Here is a 23,433-nt window from a genome sequence, read left to right on the forward strand (position 1 = left end):
GACAAACTGCAGGACCCAGTGAGGGAAATGGGAACATACCAGGCCGAGCAGTATGGCTAAATCCATTTATTCCAAAATCAAAAGCAAAAAACAAAAAACAAAAAACAGGAGTCCCATCACCAGGCAGCCATGACCCCATCCCCGCCTGCTTCCTCGCTCCTATGCTAGCAATAAATAAGTTTCCCAGCCGCGAATAATTATAAGAACCTCTTCCTCATATGCCAGCTGCAACCTCCGCTAGGTACGATACAGAATGTTACACAGCTACAGTATGTACACGGGGGAAGGGGGGCCACCCCCAGCAGCCTGTGCCCTGGCCTGGTCTACAGTTAACTCCACTGTCCCGCCTCAGCTGCCTCTCTGAGTAAGAAGATGGGAGCCCCCCTGAGGGAAAAGTTGCTTTGGTGAGAGTAAGAAGGCCGTCAGACCTCCTCCAAACAAACCAACTCCACCAACCTCTGGCTCTTAAATAACAAACATCATCATCCAGAAATGTAAGGACTCAGCCTTGGTCAAGGTGGTAAAGGGTCTGTTTGTCTCCCTCCATTAGACAAGGGTCTTGTCTTGCTACCCTAATGGTAAAGGGCTGACTGGGGAGGGGTTGTAGGGACATGGTGGGGGTGAAGACTCCAGACCCACTTCTCCAGGCTTATGCTGACAGGGGCCTGCTTTTATTTATTTTTATTTTTATCCCATGACTTTTTTTAAATCCTGTAACTAATTTTTCATAACTTTTTAAAATAACTTTTCATAAAACTTTTTTTTTACTTTTTTTCCACAACTTTTTTTTGCCACTTTTCCACAGTATTTTTTTATCCTGTAACTTTTTCATCCCACAACTTTAATTCCTGTTAACTTTTTTAGTTTGTGTTCTTTTAATAAACACACTTACATAGTTACAATTTTGTAAGAATAAAAACCGATTACCTCATGCCAAGCATGCCGAGAATTTGCAGAGTCTCAATACCCAATACTATAGTTTTCAAGACACACAAAATTTTTAGGCAAAACAGCACCTTGAAACAATTTAATAATGTATTACATTACAGTAGCATCACAGCAGCAGTCAATAATGCCACTTTAGACAAAAATCAGTATTTCCATTATGCATTCTGTGTATAAGAATTCATAAATCGGTAAAAGTCATTCTAAGAAAACTTGGCAAATACAGCTTTGGACTGGAATTGGCATTTCTTTGTCTACTTTTCCTTCCCCTAGATTCTTTGTTTTAAACTACAGTATTCATATTTTAAAATGTTTTAAATTATTTTAAGACGTTAATATAGCAGTTACATTTTTGAATAGTTATTTGAAAGTGACTGTAAGATAAAGTTTTAGAGAATCTATTATGGATAGGGTTGATTTACATTTTCACATTTTCTAAAAATCAGCTTTGGTTTTAGAACTGATTGTTTTTCATTTTGGGAAAACCTACCAGGTTTAATCAATTACTTTAAAAATAATTATCATATTTTGCAGTCTTTAAATAGGTGTTTTGATTCTTTACTCCCTACAGAAATTCAAATTTATTCAGTTGAAGTCACATTTTAAAATTCTATGTTCCTGCTGAACTCTAACCTTCTAATGTTGCCTTCTAAGCAAATTAAAGGCTGCCTTATACTGAATGAGGTAGAGAACAAATACTTGGCTGAATGAGGTACTGCAAAAGACTGCATGCACTTTGAAGAAAGACTTGAGTTATTGTCATAGGATTTCCATTCTCTTTAGCTTTTTCTTAAACATATGACAAAATACCTACACAGAGTCGTATTTGAATTAATATAGTATATTTATTTTTCAGACTGACATTCATCTTAAATATGCCAGTATGTGATTTAATCCACAGGTACCTGATGAACACATTATTGTCAGATTGGTTACAGTTGCTAAACGCTATCTGAAGGTCATTCCTATTCATTTATACGTGTCAGGGTAAAAGTGAAGCGATTTGAACTATAAAAATACCTTTGAAATAATTTATCAATGTATTAGATAAGCTCAGTTTCAGAATGATAAACAAAAACTGTTAGACCAAATAACGTGGCTAATTAACAGTGGTACGATTTCTAGCCCGAGGGTTTAAAATGGAGTTAAAGTAAGTGTCTTTAAACTGAACTCAAAGAATGCAAAAGCGGCAAGTTCAGAAAAGGCAAGAACAGGACCTTTAGTCCATTTTAAGCCATAAATATTACACAAAATATGCCTCTAACTGAAACTGAGAGGTATAAAAACATATTTCACTCTTCGTAAAGAACTTTGTGAGGAAATATAACTCTGTGATTGTATAGACACTTTCCTCATGACACTTTGACAGTCACAAACAGTAGATTGCGCTGCAGTTTGTAAACATTTTACGTTGCATAAACTGCTCCTTGATTTTCAAATGTAGTATAATACTGTCTACTAAAACTCCTTTTTGTTTCAACTAAGTACTCTCACATATATTAGTTTATAATAATGTTTGTTATTATTTTTAAAGTGTTCTCCATTCAAGGAAAAGAAGTAAATTCCTATGTCAGATGGTTGAAGACTAGCTATTAGCCAGAGAGGTCTAGATGGTAAAATCCATCTTCTAGCCTCAAATAAGCTCCATGAACACAGAGGAATGCCAGGTGTCACACAGCTTTCCTTCACTCGAATTCATTCTTGACTAGAGCCTGTATATGCCTGTTCCAGGGGCATTTAAACTCTTAAAGGATTTCTTCTGATCTTTACTAAATACATTAAGGAGAACGCCAACCAGTGCCCTTTTGTGTACTGGGACATGTAGTCATGTGATTAAAACAGGGAACATGAACTCTGACTTTAAAATGTATTGTAGATATAAATGCTCTCAGCTAGAAAAGGTTTTCCACATCCACAGTCATGATGGGAGCCTTTCATTCCTCAGAAATAATCCCTTTTCAGGTCATCAAAAAAGAGTACAACTGCCACAGCTCATGAGGCAGTATCTTCATGAGCCCAGAGCACATACAAATCCTAAGGGAACTACTGTAGTACAGCACTCATTCTTGGCACTGAAACAAATGAAACATATTCTATCCTGCACACACCTGCCAAAGCAGGCCACTTTCCTCTTCTGGGAGATTTAAAAACCTCCCCAAAATGTTATTACTCCCATCCCCAATACACAGAAAAAGGGGGAAAGGCTGTTTCCAGTGCTCCACCTTTAAACAACTGTAAATGTCAGTACTCACAGTGGCATATTACAAAGTAATAGACCGCGCACTTGAGGGCAAACTGCATATTGAGCTAATGAAGAGCTCACTGTGATTAGGATTCGATCAAACATAACAGCAGAACATAAGGAAATTTTATCTGAATTCCGTAATGAATATACAGGCTGTACTAACATTAAAAAAGCATGGCAGCCTATCCCAAACCAGCAAGAACAGTTGTGTGCATACAGTGGGTCTTTGTGTGTTTGAACTCCCACCACATAAGGGCAAACTCGATATGCATGCTAACGTCCTATAATTATCAAATTAAAAAAATGCTAAAAGATGCCAGAGTGAACATGAGAGAAACACCCACTCTCATTTAACTTTTTACAAATAAATTTAAATTATAAATTAGAAACACAAATAAATTTAAACTATAAATTAGAAACACAAATAAATTTAAACTATAAATTAGAAACACAAATAAATTTAAACTATAAATTAGAAACACAAATAAATTTAAACTATAAATTAGAAACACAAATAAACATAAGTGGCTCTAACATTCAAATGAAGTAAATGAATTGTGTAGGATATTAACCCCTTAAATGTTTTGTTTTTTTTTTTTCAATTCCTTGACCCGCTCTTAGATGATGGTGATGTTTAGCTCCCTGTTCTCCGCAGCCCGAAAAGAATGGCATGCAGCCTCTCCTGCTCCTCCTGCCGCCTCTCCTGTACCAACAGCTTCTCCACTCAAGCCTGGGTGCTCCTGGGGAGTCCTGCATTAGAGGAAGCAGCTGCTGGATCTGCTGTGCAGTGGGGTTGTCATGGGGGAGAACCCTCCCTGTCCTCTCCCGGTGCAGCCTCCATGCTATCAGTGAGGCTCAGCCCACTAAGATCTTCAGAGAGAGGGAGGGGGGTGGGAATCTGGGCACAGTGCGAGCCTCCCCTGCTCCTGCCTGCCCACCCCGCCTGAGGGCTCTACTCACCACCCTGCTTGTCCGCACATCCAAGCTCCTTGTGGGACTGGGGCTCCAGCTACTGGTCTGGCTGCTGCTGCAGACTCGGAGCCTCTTGGCTCTTCAGCTCCACCTGCCGGAAGACCCTGGGCATGAGGACATGTGGTGGCTGGCTTCCAGATTCCTGGCCCATTAATAGGGTAGCGAGGACACTGTGGGGCTCTGTGGCCTGCCCAGGCCCCTGGCCCCTTGCTCCAGGCCTAAGAGACTGTCTCCCTTGCCTAGAACCCCATGCCTCCTTCCCTAGCATCAAATCTCACGTCCTTTTTCCCAGCATTTAAACTGTAGGCCACAGACTGGTGGAAAAGCAGGCGGAGCCAACCACCATCTGCTAAGTGTGCTACATGCCTAATGTTTCCACGTATTATCTCATTTAATCCTCAGCACCTCTGCAAGGAAAAGGCTAACTTCCTTTTGAAGTTAAAGAAACAGAGACTTAGAGATGCAAAGTAGTTGAATTATGACCAGTGGAACCGAGGCCGGAATCCAGTTTGAATCTAAGGAGTCTTTTTTGTTTGTCTGTTTTGTTTTGTTTTGAGAGAGTGTCACTCTGTGTCCCAGGCTGCAGTGCAGTGGTGCAATCTCAGCTCACTGCAACCTTCATCTCCCGGGCTCAAGTGATTCTCGTGTCTCAGCCTCCTGAGTAGCTGGGATTACAGGCATGCACCACCAGGCCCGGCTAATTATTATTATTTTTTTTAATTTTAGTAGAGATGAGCTTTCACCATGTTGGCCATGTTGGTCTCAAACTCCTGACCTCAAGTGATTGTCCTGCCTCAGCCTCCCAAAGTGCTGGGATTGCAGGCGTGAGCCACCACACCCGACATAAGGAGCCTCTTATACCACTGTCTCTTCCTCTGTGATTGGGGGGCTCCATGCCTCTAGCTGGGATGATGATGTCCAGACCTGGGAGGACCCCAGGGCTACCCACCTCTAAAAGTCAGAGGGCAGGAAGCAAGAAACAGTCATAGGACTGCCCCGGAGGGTGCTGGGGTCACCTGTCCCCAGGCTGCAGCTGCCTGTGGCCTGGCACCTCCCCTCCCCAGAGGCTGGTGCCCACCTCCCACATCTTCTTGGATGGGTCGGAGGTTACAGTCTCTTTCAGCTCACCCGACTTCTTCAGCTCCTTTACTTGCTGCTCCAACTGCAGTGTGCTCTTGTTCTCGTTGTTCTGGACAGAGAGAAGCAATCAGTGGCCACCCACTAAAACTGGAGACCCCAGAACTTAGTGTCTGCCTCCCATGGCACCGGGAAGGGTGGAGGCAGGTTAGAAAAATATCCCCTCTCTCCCACAGCCATCAGAGCAGGGCTCTGGCTCACAGATGCCTTTAGAAGTACCATTTCATGTGAAGGCTACAATGCCCCATTTTACAGGTGGGGAAACAAAGGCCTTGAGGGCTAGGGAAGAGGGCAGCCTCCCCAGGTGGGGCAACGCACCAGCTCCTCGAAGCCGCTGCGTGGCTCGGCCCGCTGCTCGTACAGGGCTTCCCACCCCAGCTCCAGCATCCTCTCCAGCTCCCGCAGCCTCTCCAGCTCCCGCAGCCTCTCCAGCTCCTGCAGAGTCTACTGCTGCCACAGCCTCTCATCCTGTTGCCGAAGCCTCTCCTGCTCCAGGAGCTCCTCCACCTCGTCCAGGAGCTCCTCCACCTCGTCCAGCAGCCTCTCCCTCTCCAGCAGCCTCTCCTGCTCCTCCTGCCGCCTCTCCTGTTCTAACAGCTTCTCCACCTCTTCCAGCAGCCTCTCCCTCTCCAGCAGCCTCTCCTGCTCCTCCTGCTGCCTCTCCTGTTCTAACAGCTTCTCCACCTCTTCCAGCAGCCTCTCCCTCTCCAGCAGCCTCTCCTGCTCCTCCTGCCGCCTCTCCTGTTCTAACAGCTTCTCCACCTCTTCCAGCAGCCTCTCCTGCCCTGGCAGCTTCTCCTGTTCACACAGCCTCTCCTCCTGTTCACGTAGCCTCTCCTCCTGTTCACACAGCCTCTCCTCCTGTTCACGTAGCCTCTCCTCCTGTTCACACAGCCTCTCCTCCTGTTCACGTAGCCTCTCCTCCTGTTCACACAGCCTCTCCTCATGTTCACGTAGCCTCTCCTCCTGTTCACACAGCCTCTCCTCCTGTTCACGTAGCCTCTCCTCCTGTTCATGTAGCCTCTCCTCCTGTTCACGTAGCCTCTCCTCCTGTTCACATAGCCTCTCCTCCTGTTCACACAGCCTCTCCTCATGTTCACGTAGCCTCTCCTCCTGTTCACACAGCCTCTCCTCCTGTTCACACAGCCTCTCCTCCTGTTCACGTAGCCTCTCCTCCTGTTCATGTAGCCTATCCTCCTGTTCACGTTGCCTCTCCTCCTGTTCACGTAGCCTCTCCTCCTGTTCACGTAGCCTCTCCTCCTGTCTCCTGTTCAGGAGACTCAACATCTGATTGTTTTCCACCTCAGCCTGGAGCTGTCTTCCCACACTCTCTAGCTCCTTCCTTAGGTGGTTGGTCTCATCTTGTAGCTGCTCTACCTTAGATGGCCCTGCTGGGGGCTCTGGGGCCAGGGGTTCAGCTGAGAAAGGAAGCAGACAATAAGGGCCTCTGGATTCTCAAAAAAAAAAAAAAATCCTCCCTTCGGTGCACAGCTCCTCCTCTCAGGCTTCCCAAACTTGGCCTCACTGCTAATGACTCCTCACACCCGGATGGTAGCCAGTCTTCCAAGTCACTTTCAGATAGAGAGCACTGTGGGTGGCTGACAATGGGCACTCCTCCCTCTTTACTGATGGGGACACTGAGGCTCATGGAGATGACAAGACTTGTCCTCCCCTGGCACAGACCTCTTTCCCTCTGCCTCAAAGCCCTTCCATCCACCCACCTCCCTGGGGCATTCTAAGTCACCCCCACAGCCCTCTAATGCCAGTCCAGCTGCCAGGTCATGCCAGCCCCATCTTACCCGTCTGGTTTTTGAGTTTGAACAAGCTCCTCCCAAGCTTCTGTACCAGATGTATCTCATGCTTCTTCTCCTCCTTAGATGTGCGAACCTGCCCAAAGCAAAGGGGGAAAAGGGCCCTGGAGGGAGGGGCTGGTGAACCTCTAGAGACAGAGTTTGAGAAGGGCCCACCCCCCTTCTGCCAGTTTGTGATTTAGAAACGTGCATTCATTCAACAAACATTTACTGAGCATGTACAGGCCAGGTACAGTTCTTCATAGCAGAGATATAAAACAGCAAAGGACAGACAGGAGCCCTTGGCCCTGAGGTTTCCATTCTAGGGGCCTTTAAATCTCTGACTTTCAGAGCTAACCGAGACCTTTGATACTCTCTACCTCCTCCAGAAACACGAGCATAAAGAGGAGAGATGGCTTGTCCAGACTCAAAAAGCAAATTAGGGACTGAGGCAGGGCAGAAATATGGACCCCTGACAACCAGTCAGGCTAGTGCTTCCCAGAGAGGTGACAACCCCAGGGCATGTGTGGCAAGGACTAGAGCAGGGGTGTCTGGAGAAGAGAGAGTCAGCAAAGAGGGCAGTGCAGAAGACCCATGCTGCATGTTCTGTGCTCTGGGGTCCCTCCAGGTGAGACCTGGGTGCCCAGCTCCCCATTTGCCCTTGGCATCAGGGGCCCCTAGCTCCTTTCTTCAGGGCCCCAAGAGGAAACTGGAGTCCAGGATTGACCAGCTGTAATCAGGGGACCCCACTGGACTCTTACCAGTGAATTGATGTTTTCAGTGAGTTGACTGATTATTGCGGAGCTTGAATCCAGGGCCACTGCTAGTTCTTGGTACTGGCTCTGAGGTGCATGCAGAGAGAAGGAGTTGGAGGAAGATTGTGGGGAGGGGTAGAGAGAATAATCATTAGGGCTGGTGGGGGTGTGTGGGCTGCCTCAGCTGGCAGAGGGGCAACAAGCCCCTGCTGTGGGAGGAGGTTGGAGGGCTGGCCTGCAGGGTCACTGCACCTCGGCCCAGGGCCTCTTACCTCCAGATCCTCCAGGGTAGTAGAGGATGCACGGCCCTCCCCGTAGATACCTGTTGCTGACTGCAAGAGATGAGAGTGCACATGGAGATGTTCTGTCCCCCCTCACTGTCTAAGCCCTCTGACTTCCTTTCTTCCCCCATCAACTGGCAAAAGCTTCTTTTCTGCCTATCTTGGACCCTTTTTCCCATAACTCCTTTGTGCCAACTTCTCTCGTGGTTCTTATCTCCCCACCATCCCACCCTGGGGCCCTTTCAGTGACTCCTAAAGGGACAGCCTGATGGCAAGTGGCTCTTCTCATTGGCCTGGCTTCCCCTTGAGACTGGGGATGAGGAAAATCAAACAGCAACGACCATTTCCTCGGTGTCCTGGGTGTTTGCAGCAGGCCATGTACTAAGGATTCACATAAAAGCAACAATAACGAATCTCATTTAAACTTCACAAATGGAAGTCAAAAAATACCACCTCTATTATACAGATGTGAAAAGAGAGGCCCAAAGACCTCAAGCAACTTGCCCTAAATCATATGCTAATCAATCCCTAATCAATTCTTAGCAGATGGAGAGGCAGGATTCAAATCCAGAATTCTTAACCAGTACCCAACAGTCCATCTACAATCTTAACAATTACCCTCTACTGCCCCTTGGGCCCCCTGTCCCCAGGACCCTGGCCCGCCGAGACTCACATCCCCAGGTGAGTGGTAACCACCAGAAGTGGCTGTGTCAGGGCTACTGCCATTGATTTTCTTTTTCCTGTTAGCTCCTGCTGGAATGCCAGGGCTCTTCCTCTGCCAATATGCTTTTAACTGTGGGAAAGAAGAGCGGTAACACTCATGAGAATGATCAGCCCCTACAGCCACATCCTCCTTTACAGTTTTGACAAAATACCCTTATATACCATCTGATGTAATGCCACCAACAACTGTACAAGGTGTTGTCACAATCACTTAGTGACTGAGAGGGATTGATATCATGGATAGAAAAAAAAAAAAAAGAAAGATCAAAAAAGGCAATACTGGAACTTAAACTCAGTCCTCTGACTCCAAGCTCTGGGGTTTTGCCATGAATCAGCAGCTTCCAGGGACCAAAACCAGGGGCAGAGGTAGAAAAGTAAACATTAAGCAGGCAGGAACTGTAGGCCGTGTGGTTTAGAGTCATACATCCTCACAGGTCTGCTAGCGTGAAGAAGCGTACCAGTACCTCTCACACTTTCATATCAATGTGTCCTCATGGCAGAAGGCAGCTTTTCTATTAAATCTGGGAATTTATCAGAAAGAGGACAACCCAAGCCTCATTTCAGAGCGAAGTCTGGTATACGCTTGGAAACCTATGTGTCTGTCATCCCTAAGTACATTAATGCATTTTCTCAAGAGAATCAAGGGAAAATGATGCTTCAGAAAGATGTCCCACATTTATCCTGTGGCACTCAAAGTACCCCAGGTTGAGACGATATGAGGAAGATTCAAGCTGTCAAGTTCAGTTTCCCAAGATCTATTCCACAGAAGATGAGCAAATCTCACTTCAGAGGCCACTGACTGAAGGGCAGTCTGGTCCCAGAACCGTGGAGAACTCAGAAAAAAATGTTAAAGTCTCTCTGGAAAGTAGAAGCCTGGGAAAAAACCAAACCAAACCCATTCTCCCATTGCCACCCAGAGATACTGTGAACATTTTGAGCTCACAGGGGAAGTGTAGGCTTTTCCCACTGTCAATGTCTATGTTAAGGGAGTAAGGCAGCCTGAAACCTCTTGCTCCTAGGTCCCATAGTCTCCACTCCCCTTCCAGCTGGAAATTTGTGCTGCAACCAGAGGAACCAGAAATGGGGTGAGAAAACTTAGGGGACTGGGTTGTAAGATCAAAGGCCGGTCTTGCAGCAGTAATGACAGTTCCTAGGGGCACTGTGACATCATTGCATTCCACTCCTCCCAGGGGAGGGGACCACATCAGCGCGATGCCCGAGTCGCTGCTCCACGATGGGGGAGGGAAACACACGGTTTCGACCCAGGTCCTCAGAGACGCCAGCCCAAGAAGCCTAGGGAGGTCGAGCTTGGGGCAGCAGGAGGGGAGGGCAGAGTCTGCAGTAGGGAGCCCCGGGAGTCACCAGCCCAAAGCCACCCAGGGATGACTGGTGAGGGCAGGGCCTGGGGCTGGGGGACCCAGGTCCTGGGAGACGCAAGCCCAAAGAGCCCAGGGAGGTTGGGCTTGGGGTGGCAGGAGGTGAGGGCTGATTATGGAGCAGGGAGCCCCAGGAGTCACCTGCCCAAAGTCACCCTGGGGTGATTGGCAAGGGCAGGGACTGGGCTGCTTGCTGAAGGGGTGGGGCTGACTGACTAGGCTTTGGTTGGGGGAGCCCAGAGGGGCTGGGGTTGGGGGGCCCCATCTGGTATGCCTCAGGAGTGGTATGGACTCTGGCACCGGTCTTGTCATCGGAGGGGATCTGTGGCTGGGTTGGGGGCCATGACCTGGTGTGTTTTACCTTTTTCTTGGCTGCGGCCAATTTCCCCTGTTGTGTTTTTTCTGACATCGCGGGGTGGGGAGGGAGGCGGGGTTGGGGCCACATCAGCGAAATACCAGTGAGCACTGCTCAATGCCTCCAGTCACCTACCAGGCAGCTGTGCAACTGAGCCACAGGTGGCGTAACCAGGGCACCAATGGAACGCAGAATAGGGGCGTGGCCTTAAGGCTCCAAGCCCATTGGTCAGTGAGAAAGATGAAAGGGAAAGGAGGCGTGGCCAGGCAGCAGCATGTCCAGAGGGACCTGTGGCATCATAAGGAAAGCTGCCCATGCAACTGCTGTCCCCGCCCACTAAGAGGGGAGGGGCCACCCACTCTGGGAGAGGGGAAGGGCTGGCTTTTGCTTTAAAAGCTTTAAAACTGTTAAAAATAAACTTTAAAAAATATATGTGTGTATACTTTATATATGTGTGTCTGTGTGTATCTATGTGTTCCTCCAGAGCTGTCTTCATTATCCAGCTTCTATGCAAAGTCTATGATTTTGGCCTATATTTTTCATCTTCAAATGGAGCACAAGAATTACAAGTATTACCTTAACTGAGATATAGATCCTATAAAAATGGAAAATCCATAGCATTCTTGATGATTAATGAAGCCGACTATAGTATCCGACATTCCAATAACAGAATATAATCACAATGATTTCTCTTTTTTGGAAAAATGTTTGTCTTATTCTCCTACATTATTGTTAAGATTTCTTTTAAAAACAAGAAACATGTCTAATATCTTTAAAAACACAAAGCTTTTGGGCCAGGTGCGGTGGCTCACCCCTGTAATGCCATCACTTTGGGAGGCCGAGGTGGGTGGATCGCCTGAGGTCAGGAGTTCGAGACCAGCCTGGCCAACATGAAGAAACCCTGTCTCTACTAAAAATACAAAAACTAACCAGGTGTGGTGGTGGGTGCTTGTAATCCCAGCTATTTGGGAGGCTGAGGCAGGAGAATCACTTGAACCCAGGAGATGGAGGTTGCAGTGAGCCAAGCTCATGCCACTGCACTCCAGCCTGGGTGACAGAGCAAGACTCCATCTCAAAAGAAATAAAATAAAATAAAATAAGATACAAAATAAGTAGGAACACAAAACTTCCAATTTAATAAGCACTTAAAGCTCTTTATTGGTTTAAAACAAATACAAGGCCCACTTTTCTAGAATCACCAGGCCTCTCTAGGCCTTGCAAATGAAACTGAATTTCTCACTTGATACCTGGCTATGACTTGCAGTCATGAAAACCAAGAATTGTGTTATGTCACTGTGTACTGCTTGTTACCTGAAATCCACACTAGGCTGGGATCAAGGGTTGAATCTTTCATGATTTTCTCCATAACCTGTGTGCTTCTTATCCCAGACTGAACTAAGCTTTTTTCTAGAGTTCTACAATTTACACTTAATAGACAAGAGTGGTTCTCAAAATGTAGTCTATGGACTAGCAGCACCAGCAGCACCTGAGACCTTTTTATAAGTGCAAATTCTCAGGCCCCACCCTGGACCTGGTGAATCAGAAACTCTGGAGTAGGGTTCAGCAATCTGTGCTGCAGTAATCCCTCCAAGTGTTCAAGAACCTCTGGCATACAGCAGGTAGAAAAATGTGTTTCCTTCTGTAGGTCCAAAGCCAGGGTTACCATATGTTCTGCCTTGTTATGAAACAATGACATGCAATTAAAAGACAAGAATCTCCTTCCTACTCGCACCCTCCATCCAATGTGTTTTATTTGTATGAGTTCCATAAGAAAAACAAGCGGCAATCAGAGATTTAGTCTAAAAAGTATGTTTACAAGTGTCCGTTCTCATCCAGCCTGATCTCCTACAAAACCATTTACATCCTCTTACATCTCAAGTTTTAAAAAAGTATCTTCACAATGTAAGACTCACGCACACTAGCAGTTCTATAATAAAACACCAAGTAGATCAGAATGTCCAACCTTACTAGAGAAGAAAAGTGGAATCATTGGCTATATTTTCAAATTGCATTCAACAGGAAATTTAAGTTTTGAATTTTTTTCACCTTTATACTTCCAAAGTAATAGAATTAAACCAGAATACGCCATTCTTTCAAAGCCTCTAGCCAGGCAAAGTTTTACTGTATTATTTCTTGCTTTCAATGGATATAAAGCAGATTCCTGGTAGGCACATTCTGTATACCTGCAAAGATGCAGAACTAAACAGTTCCATCTGTTCAATATTAAACCAAAAGTCCTGTAGACCTCGAATGGTGAGTGTAATACTTCAGCACTAGCCCAAAACCTCAAATATGAAAAGATACCAAGAACACCACTAGCAAACAAAACTAAACTCTCGGTCAGGAGCAGTAGCTGACACCTGTAATCCCAGCACTTTGGCAAGCCGAGGTGGGAGGATTACTTGAAGTCAGGAGTTCAAGACTAGCCTGGGCAGCATAAAGAATTCACATCTCCACAAAAATTTTTGAACATTAGCTGGGTGTGGTGGCACATAGCTGTAGTCCTAGCTACTTGGCAGGCTGAGGTGGGAAAATTGCTTGAGGCGAGGAGTTCAAGGCTGCAGTAGCTATGATTATGGCACTGCACTCCAGTCTGGGTGACACAGCGAGACTTAGATAATTACATTTTCTCCTGCTCCTGTTTACACTAAAATCACGAAGTTAAAAGGCTTTCAAATTTGGCAGGATAAAAATTAAGTGAAATGTGACTTTGGAGCTTGGCTAGTGAAAGAAAGAAAGAAAAAAAGGGAAGAAGGAGGGAGGGAGGGAATAAAGAAAAAGAAAGGAAAGGAAGAAAGAGAGAGAGGGAAAGAAGAAAGAAAGAGAAAGAAAAAGAAAGAGGAAAGAAAGAGAGGGAGGGAGGGAGGGAAAAGAAAAGAAAGTAAGAATGGAAAGCAAGAAAGAAAAGGAAAGCAAGGAAGGAAGAAGAAGAAAGAAAGAAACAAGGAAAAGAAAGAAAGGGAAAGGAAAGGAAAAAGAAAAGAAGAAAAAATGAAATGACAAATTACTTACTGGGAGAAAGTTTTGTCACCTCAATGACAGATAAAAGGCTTGCATCCTTAGACTATAAAGAAATCTTTAAAATTACTGAGAAAAAAAAACAAATGATTTTCAACCGAAAATGGGCAATGGAGAAACTGGCACTTCTCACAAGAATAAAAATGGCCAGTGGCATATACAAAGATTCAAAAGCACAAGAAATCAAAGAAATGTCATGAAAACAATGAGATTTTCTGTATAAAGGCAGGAAAGATGACAAATGGAAAGGGGAACCTGGAGCTCTGTCCTTGTTGGTGGGAGTATAACCTGAGTCACTTTTCCTGGAGAATGATTTGAAAATTTCTATTAAAAACCCTAAAAATTATTTTCCTCCAGAAATTCTACTTCTATGAATTCAGTCCAAAAATGTTTGCTCGAGCCCATTAAAATGTGTGTATAAGAAAATTCACCTCTGGGGTGGCAGTGATTAACTTAATATACATCCAGCTATTAAAAATGATGATGCCAGGATATATTTACTGCCACAGAAATATGCCCAAAATATAGTAAGTGACAAAAGACTACATACTACGATTCTACTTTTTAAAAGGTTTATGTGCATAAAAACGTATAAAAAGCAACAAACCACAATGTTTTGAGTGGCAAATTAAAGATTTTTCTTAATATTTGTCATCCAAATTATTACAAAAAGAATGATTTCCTTTATAATGAGGGAGAATTGTTATTTTCATTTATTTATATTTAAATCTCTTTTCTTTTTCTGATTTTGTTTTCTCCTGTATGTATCCCATGTAGGCTAGAATCCCTGCCTCTTGAGGTAAATCAGCCCATTTTTGGGAAGTGCGCTACAGAAAGCTGCCCCAGCTTCCTTTTAAGAGATCTGGAGACATTTTTTATTTCAAATTGTTTTATCGTTCTCAGATTATTTTGTTTAATATATGAAATTGAGGAAAAGACAAAGGAAAGGCTGACTCCCTACCCTCCTGGGGCTACTCTTCCAATTTTTGCTGCTATTGTTATATATTAATATTCACTGGGTACTAAAAAGATGGGCAGCCCCTTAGATCATTTGTTCTTATCTCTTTCTCATAATCCTACTTCATTCCTTCATTCACTTATTTTTAAAAAGGTCATGTGTACAAACACATGGTTCAGAAAATTTTTAAATATAACTACCTATAAAAGTATGTGGCCAAATCCCATTCACAGTCTTATTCTCCTTCTACAGCCAAACACTTTTAATTGGTTTCTTATATATCATTTAGGAATTTATGTTTGCAAATACACACGTATATTCTTATTCTACTCTTCTCTCTCAACACAAAAAGTAGCATACCATACATACTATACCATTCCTTGTTCCTCTTAAAACACACACAATATATGTGAGTTCTTCTACATGAGTACAGAGGTCTTTGTCATTCTTCTTTACAACCGCACAGTATTCATCGTTTGGATGTACCACAGTTTACTTAACCAGTTCCCTGTTGGTGGACACTGAAGTCATCCCTATCATACTATTACAAACAATAATGCCAAGCATAACCACCCACATACCAAGTTCATTTCTGAATCTGCCTTTGATGAAGCCTCTATTTGAATCACCACAAGGTCACAAGGCTGAAAAGTTAGCCAATTTTTTAGTTTTCATTATGTACAGCAGTATGTAGCAAAAGACTCCCTTGGGCAAAGCAAATGTGCTCTTTGGGGATTTACTGCATAACAATAAATGGATTAACACCAAGGAGAAATATTTCTATTTAACCATGCACATGTATGTATATAATACATGCATATGCATAGATAGTATACAATAAATCCATCAAAGCATTAAGCATTGTCTCAGTATGGTGGATCTATGGAGTGCTTTGTAGACAGCCCTCCTTGCCTATCAATTCTTTCTAGTTTCAAAACAGTGAATATGTACTATTTTTGCAATATAAAATTTCAATAAATGTTAACTCAAGCCAGATACATTCCTTCAGTCTGTCCTATATTTGTATGGTGCTCCAGAGTGCTCAAATATCATTTCATTAAAAAAATTTACTTATTTTTTTTCAAATATAGAAACAGGCAGGGCTTTGCTCTGTTGACCAGGCTGGTCTTGAACTCCTAGATCCTCCTGGATCCTCCCACTTCCACCTCCCAAAGTGCCGGTATTACAAGTGGGAGCCATCCGGCCCGGCCGGCTTCATTTGAGAAATATTTCCCCAGAACTCCATATATTATGAATAATTCCTTTCTTCTTGTTTAGATACCATCTTAGTCATATCTCTGTTACCTCACTTGTCACATGATAATCAGTTGCTCACCCATCCATCTCCCTTGATTGCTCGAGAAGAGTCTGATTTTCAGCACCTTGAACAGTGTGCAATACATACATGCTTCATACGCAGAGAAGGAAATGATATCACTACAGTGTAATTATTCCCAGAATTCAATGCCCGTATTTGTAAATTGTTCCAGATACTCTGCCAACAACCTGAGAATGTTATGTGTTTTCCCTAAAACTTCCATCCATTACTGAGTGTCTACGGTCATAGTTAACTCAGTTGCGATCTGACCTCTGGCCAAGCCCATTCATAGCTTGTATTATAGGTGATTTTTAATTTTAATTTTTGATTTTGATAGTTTCCTTTTTGTTTTTTTAATCTAGCAGTGTTTGGTAAACTTCAGCATCTCTATATCCCTGTGTCTTTGCACCTACTGGTCTCTGCTTGGAATAATAGCTCAAGGTTTTATTCACCTGGAAAAAATTTCTACTTACCCTTAAAGAATCAGCTTAAATAAGCCGGGCATGGTGGCTCATGCCTGTAATCCCAGCACTCTGGGAGGCCAAGGTGGGCGGATCACCTCAGATCAGTAGTTTGAGACTAGCCTGGCCAACATCGTGAAACCTCGTCTTTACTAAAAATACAAAAAATAGCTGGGTGTGGTGGTGGATGCCTGTAATCCCAGCTACTCGGGAGACTGAGGCAGAAGAATCACTTGAACCTGGTAAGCAGAGGTTGCAGTGAGCTGAGATCACGCCATTGCACTCCATCTTGGGCGAGAGAGCAAGACTTCATCTCAAAAACAAAAACAAAATCAGCTTAAATAATACCGTCTCTGAGAAGCCTTTATATCTTCCTATTCTTTCAGAAAGAGTTGAAAATTCCTCAACTCTTAAAACATTTGTGCCTCTATTATTATGTATCAGGCACTGAACTGAGTGCCTAGGAGACAAAGATGAAACTGTAGACCCTGCCCTCATGGAGTTCATGGTCTAGTATGGAAAACAGCCATATGAACAAATAACCATACTGTAGGTCTTCAGAGCTCAAACCCTATCCTAAATACTGCTAAATTAATATTCTGTGAGGTTTTGAAATTACTAGGGCCAGAGACAATATCGCTGTTTGGATGACTTTCCATCCAAGTTAACATTCGGCCCTCATCATCAAAGGTGGTATGTGTGTACCTCTTCCTTGCAACCCACCAGGGCCTAACACATCATATACCCACTTTTGAAATTAGGAAACAGCCTCAGAAGTCCAAGAGCTTGACCAAAGTAACTCAGCTGGTAGGTAGCAGAACCAGGTCGGTATGATTCTTCTTCAATATCCTCCAAGTTATATGGGCAAGTGGCCTCAAAATCAACAAAAGACAAGTAGAGGTTGACATGCATTAATGGAGAGAGGCTCAAAAGGAAGAGTTTATACACAAGAATAGAACAGAAATGTTCCAGAAGTATGTCTGGGGATGTGAAGTAGGAGGGGGCACACCAGGTTTCACCTTGGTCAAGTGAATCTATAATTCCAACCTGGGCCTCACCCCTGAGCTCCAGACTTAGCTATCTGTTTTTCTCACTCTAATATAAAATCCATAGGGCAGGACTTAATCTCTAGGTTGTTCATCACAAATTAAAGCAGAGTCTGGTTTATAGTAAGTACTTAATAAATAAGTAAACAAACTATCAAAGAAGCTAAAGAAACATTCTACACTCTTGGGGGAAGGGATTACCATGAAATGCCATCTGTCTTTTTCCTACTTTTCAGTATTTGGGGTGTTCTTCATTGAAAAAGATTAGCTTCTTGAATGTTCCAGATAGGAAGAGAGAGGGAGAGGGAGAGAGACAGGAACAGAGAGAAGTTTCATATTTTAACTATGGTTCAATTCTAAGCATTCTAAAATTGTATTGAGTTTTTTATACCATGAATTACAAGGGTGTTTAATTTCCAAATTCATGTAGCTTTTTGTTAATCTCTTCATTATTGCCTTCTAACCTTAATTGCTTCATATTTAAATTATAAATTATATGGTGTGGATGGTACCAATTGTTTTTAAATCTTCTGACTTGCTTTACGAATTAATATATAATTAATGTTTCTCCCACAGTCCACATATGCTTGAGAAGAATATAGAATATCTAATTATTGGGTACAAAGGCCTATATTTGTCCATTACACCATGTCCATTCACTGGTTATTCAAATCTACATATGGGCATTCTGTGTAACTTACTTATGGTAAGCAGGGTATGGTGAAATCTCCAAATATGCTGGCAGACTTGTCAATTTCTCCCTGTGGTTTTATCAGTTTTTCTCCTGCATTTTGAGGCTATTTTGACAGGTACATAAAATATGAAAATTGCTACATCCTCCTAATTAACAGTCAGCATCAAGTTTCTTACTAATGCTTTCTGTTCCAAAATCCTTTTTTGATACTGAAGCTCCATCACTTGTTTTTGGTTAATGTATACTGCCATATCTTCATTACTCTCTCTCCTTTATAAAAACTTTCAATCTTCTCATATCCTTATATTTTAAATATGATGGATTAAAACAGCTGGATATTCTTTTATTAGTTCCACCTAACTGGTAACTTTAGTCCATTTACATTTGTTGTGACTGATTTATGTGGACTTCCTTCTATTGCCTTTAGAACTTCTATTTCTCTCACTTTCTAATATAATTTTAATATCTCCTCCTGGGATTCCACTAAGACATATTTTAGACCTCATTCTGGTCTCCCTCCCCCTACAACCCCACCAACTTCTGCCCTATCATCTATCCTCATGTCTCTCTGTGTAACATACTGACTCACTTTTGGGAGATAATTGTCTAACCAACTAATTCTTTCTTCTGATGTCTAATCCATCCACTGAGTTTTTTATTTCAACAATTACATTTTTTATTTCTTTATTTCATTTTATTCTGAGACGGAGTCTCACTCTGTCACCCAGGCTGGACTGCAGTGGCATGCACGTGCAGCCCTTGCCTCCTGAGCTCAAGTGATCCTCCCTCCTCAGCCTCCTGACTAGCTGTGACTACAGACACGTGCCCCATACCCAGCTACTTTTTTTTTTTTTTTTTTTTTGGTGGTGTTGGGGTATTTTTTACAGAAACGAGTTCTCACCATGTTGCCCAGGCTTGTCTCCCCAACTCCTGGGCTCATACCATCCTCCCACCTCGGCCTCCCAAACAGTGCTGGGATTACAGGTGTGAGCCACCAGACCCAGCTATATATTTTATTTCTGTAAGTTCTAGTTCATCCATTTTCTTTTCAGGTCCTCCTCCTCATTCCTGGTGGCCTTTCTGTTGCTCAATTTAATGAGTCCATCTTTCTTTTATATTAGGTTTGACATGTAACTATTTTCTCACAATTCTAATATTTGAAGTCTGTGTTCTGTATCTGATAATTCCAAAACCTAGTCTTTGGGAAACATATTCATTGTTTCTAACAATTCTCAAATATGTTGGGTTGAGACTACTTGAATGCTATGATTTGACTGAAATCATATTTGCCTGCTTTTAATCTTTGGGAATCCTACAGGCTTAAGTTAGAGATGTTTTCCTACAAAAAGTATCTGTGTCTGCTTCTGATGAGAGCTGTGGGTACAACTAACATGAGACCACTTTACCACCATGCATAATCCTGACATCCTCTTGGATTCTCTTGGAGCATCTCAGCATTACACAAGGTTCTCAGATCTGGCTCCCCACCCTTGCTCATTTATACACAGAAGACTAGACTGCTTAGTATAGGTGGTGACTCACTTCCTGCTACCCTGGAAAAAACAAAACGGATCTCTCATCTGAATGTGATCACAGACTAGGAAATTCTGAAGGTGAATAACTAGAGGCTGTGGGCAGCAGGCAAAGATAGGTGTCTTTCCTGACCATAGAAATAGGTCAGAAGCTGCCCTAAAGGCTGTGTGCTACAGCATTTCACTATTTAGCTCAACTACCATTCCCTCCATAAGTGTGAGTGGAAGTTTCTTAGAGCACCATATTGCCTTTAAACAAAACCAAATTTTTGCTCAAAAGTCATGGTCATGGAAAACAAAACAAAACAAAACAAAAAAAACCCCTCTGGCTTTGGAAGACTTTCTCAGTAATGTCCTGGAATTAAGGTTACAGCCTGCATTTCATGTTAACTGAACAGAAAACCAGCCTCCAACATCCTTCTGCCCCGTGGCTTGCTCTCAGCTCCTCTTGGTTGGGCCTAGGGCAGTCAGACTGTCTGGTTCCAATCCTTGCTCTGCCACCTGTGACTTTGGACAAGTTACCTACCTTCAGTTGCCTCATCTGTAAAATGCAGATATTAATAATACCCTCTTTTAAAGTTATTAAGAGGATTGAAAGAGCTAATAAAAAGTAAAAAATAAAAAGACTTGGTAAGCATAGGCACAGAGGGAAACAAAAAAAGTAAAAATAAGTAAATAAAAAGACTAGTGCCTAGCACATAAAAGTTCATCAGGAATTAATTTTATAACATGAACTCAATTTTGCAAAACTTCAAAGTACATATAACTTTTACTATGGTATACATAACAATAATAAATTTACAACTGTAGACATGTTTCTCTACAGTAAATATAACAAAGACTAAACAATCAGATACTAAATCATTAAGTGATTATCAGTTAGTAACTTTAATTTTCTTACACTTCTATATTTTCTATAGATCATCTTTTTAACAAAAAGAAAACAAACCAAATGAAAATGAAATGAATTCTCTCAAAAAGAATTAAGATAGGAAGAAGGCTCACAAAGTAGCATAAAATATATCTTATGGTTTATGTAAAATTCTTAATAAAAGTACCTTCTTTGCTCCAAGCTGCACTCTGGCTTTGCCTTTGACTCAGGTGGCTTTTATTTGCATGATGACTGATTCTATCGAGTAGGCACTGCTTCAGCCCTACAGGAAGAACAAAACATCTCTAGAGCACAGCAGCGTTCCTGATTCCCACTTGAGAAGGCCTAACAAAATGGCATACAACTTAACAGTAGCAGACCAGTGTTAAAAAGTCTGGAGTCAAGGGGAAAAGGTAAAATTGGAATGTTTCCAGAATCTCACAAAAAAAAAACAACAAACCGATGTTCTAAGTGCCCAACATGAACAAATTAGAACCTTAAATAAAGGTCAGTGTTAATGCCAATACTAGCATAGGTTCAGCACCAAGCACAATGTTATTTTACTGGTTTACCTTTCTCATTCTTTTTTTTTTTTTTTTTTTGAGATGGAGTCTCACTCTGTCACCCAGGCTGGAGTGCAGTGGCACCATCTCAGCTCACTGCAAGCTCTGCCTCCCGGGTTCACGCCATTCTCCTGCCTCAGCCTCCCGAGTAGCTGGGACTACAGTCGCCTGCCATCACGCCTGGCTAATTTTTTTGTATTTTTTAGTAAAGACGGGGTTTCACCGTGTTAGCCAGGATGGTCTCAATCTCCTGACCTCGTGATCCGCCCGCCTCAGCCTCCCAAACTGCTGGGATACCTTTTTCATTCTTGAAAGTAGGAGCTACGGAAAAAAGCAAAACAAAACAAAACAAACAAAAAACCACTAAAATGTCTTTAAGAGAGCCATCTACTTACGATCTAACTTACATAATCAAAACACTCTATTCAGGGTGAAAATTGAGTATAATAAGAAAATAATCACCTGTTTTGTGAGAGGTTCCATATATAATGCTCCTCTACCCAATACATACCTTAAAAAGAAAAAAGGAAACATACAAAATTATCTTGAGGAGTATTCCTGCTTAAACAATTTCCATGTGGCATTATTAAGAAAGTATGCACACAGTAAAGATAAGAAGAGAACACGTAAGCATGAACATACTTGTTAGGCATATAGGACTATGGGTAATTTAAAAATTCTAATGGTATTACTCTCATGTAATTGCTCTGAAATTCTAGTCAATTGTTTGAAACGGCAATCAGAACAGAATACTTTAAAATTTTTATGTCAAAAACTAAGAACTTGGCCCTAAATATTCCAAAGAATAGGGGCAGAAGAACCCATTTCCTTAAATGGCATTTGAGTATTCTTTACAATGGAAACTTTCTCTCCCATCCTGTGATTGCCAAGAGTTTTTCCTCTGACAATGGCACTGACCCTACCCTATCCAAAATATGAACATCTGCATGGTTTCATGGTTCAAATTGTTTTTATCCATTCTGTTGTGAGAATCGAATGGTTCACACCATGCGGCTCCTCTCTGGGACTCCTCAAGTCCTTTCTAGGTCTGAAGACTGTTCTCTGAACCAAAGACAACTTCTGGGGATGTACCAAATCTCCCATTAGAAAATTATTTAGCTCAAGATGCTTTAACCTTTTAACTCCTTCTCAAACAAAATAATTTCATTTCTCCTCTAACGTTATTTTAAATTTCAAAATACACAGATAGCATGCCTAAAGTAAAATCAAGGGAATGATAGTTTTAGAACAAAAACTGTGGTAATTTTGAAAACACAAAAGCTAAGACCACTGATTAGATCTATGTGGACACCAAGTCCATCACAAACTGTTCTGTCCTCCGGGGCTCTGCCCACACCTTTCCCTTGCTTGAGATTCCTTCTGCTTCCTACCCTTCCAAATGCCGTATTTCCCCCAAGAAGACTCGCCAAGACCACTCTAGCCTGCACATCTTCCATTCCAGCTAACCAAAGGCATCCTTGCATTGACTAAACCAAATTATTTTGCAGAGAAGGCATCTAAAAACTTCTACTGTAGACCATTCACCTTAATAATTGTTTTCATGACATTATTCAATAATAAAATGAGGGAAAGAAGTCTTCTTTAACTCCCTTGCCCTGGAGAATCCAAGCAAGTGTCTTTCCCACTTGCTTTGCCCAAACCCTGGGAACTTTCAAAGTGAAAGTTTAATGGAAGGAAAAGAAAATCTAAAAGAAAAACTCTCCAAAAAATTAAACTCAGGTAAAGAATCATGGGATTAAAAATTTTTATTCTTTGTGTATTTGATTTCTGAAACATAGAAATCTATCTCTCACTCCTTAAATCTGCCACTGAGCTAAAAGAGTATTGTATATAATGTGCACTCACTGATTTAACAGAATTAGAACATCCAGGCACTCACTCAGATTTTGGTTCCACAACTGCTCAAAGTCTAGTCATTAGTTAATGGGTTAACACCACACTTGATCTTCAAATTTTGGAGATGCTGATGGTAGACAGGAACTTGTTTTGGGAAAAGGAAGTATATTGTAGACATTGTCACCCATTATCCAACCATCACCACCTTTCCTTTAAAGTACCCCACTCTTCCTTTAAGGTTGCAGAGTCTCAGAAAGTGGGAAGAAAGGAAGTTTTTGCATTTTCAGGTCAAAAGACAGTACATTTGTACAACCGCATAATACCTATGCAAATGTTTGTTGAAATCTAAACAGAAGACAGAAGTAGTTCTAGTACCTTCACTAGATAAGTAAGATAAGTAAACTTTTCCTTAATATACACTTTCAGCAGCGTTGACGCCTAAAAGTGGTCGACTCCACTACTGTATTAAATGACATTCATTTTGTCAATATGTGTTCCAAATTCTTACTGCTCTTTGTCTCCAAAGGGGGGTTCCT

General features: G+C 42.4%; 2 pseudogenes across 2 annotated transcripts in view; both read right to left on the reverse strand.

Moving 5' to 3' along the window:
* Positions 1-51: 51 nt before the first annotated feature.
* On the reverse strand, positions 52-10,731 carry GOLGA6L5P (golgin A6 family like 5, pseudogene; annotated as a pseudogene). Its single transcript, NR_003246.4, has 10 exons — positions 10,586-10,731; positions 8,799-8,918; positions 8,117-8,176; positions 7,851-7,931; positions 7,099-7,186; positions 5,984-6,717; positions 5,618-5,806; positions 5,291-5,351; positions 4,151-4,253; positions 52-3,940 (listed from the first exon to the last, which is right to left on the reverse strand). The product of NR_003246.4 is annotated as a golgin A6 family like 5, pseudogene (transcript).
* Positions 10,732-21,079: 10,348 nt separating this feature from the next.
* Positions 21,080-23,433, reverse strand: part of UBE2Q2P1 (UBE2Q2 pseudogene 1) — a 43,600-nt pseudogene continuing 41,246 nt past the window's right edge. The window contains exon 6 of the transcript NR_003661.2: positions 21,080-21,551. The product of NR_003661.2 is annotated as a UBE2Q2 pseudogene 1 (transcript). The remainder of the gene's footprint in view (positions 21,552-23,433) is intronic.

This window comes from Homo sapiens, chromosome 15 (genome assembly GCF_000001405.40).
Source record: "Homo sapiens chromosome 15, GRCh38.p14 Primary Assembly".
Taxonomy (NCBI): Eukaryota; Metazoa; Chordata; class Mammalia; order Primates; family Hominidae; genus Homo; species Homo sapiens.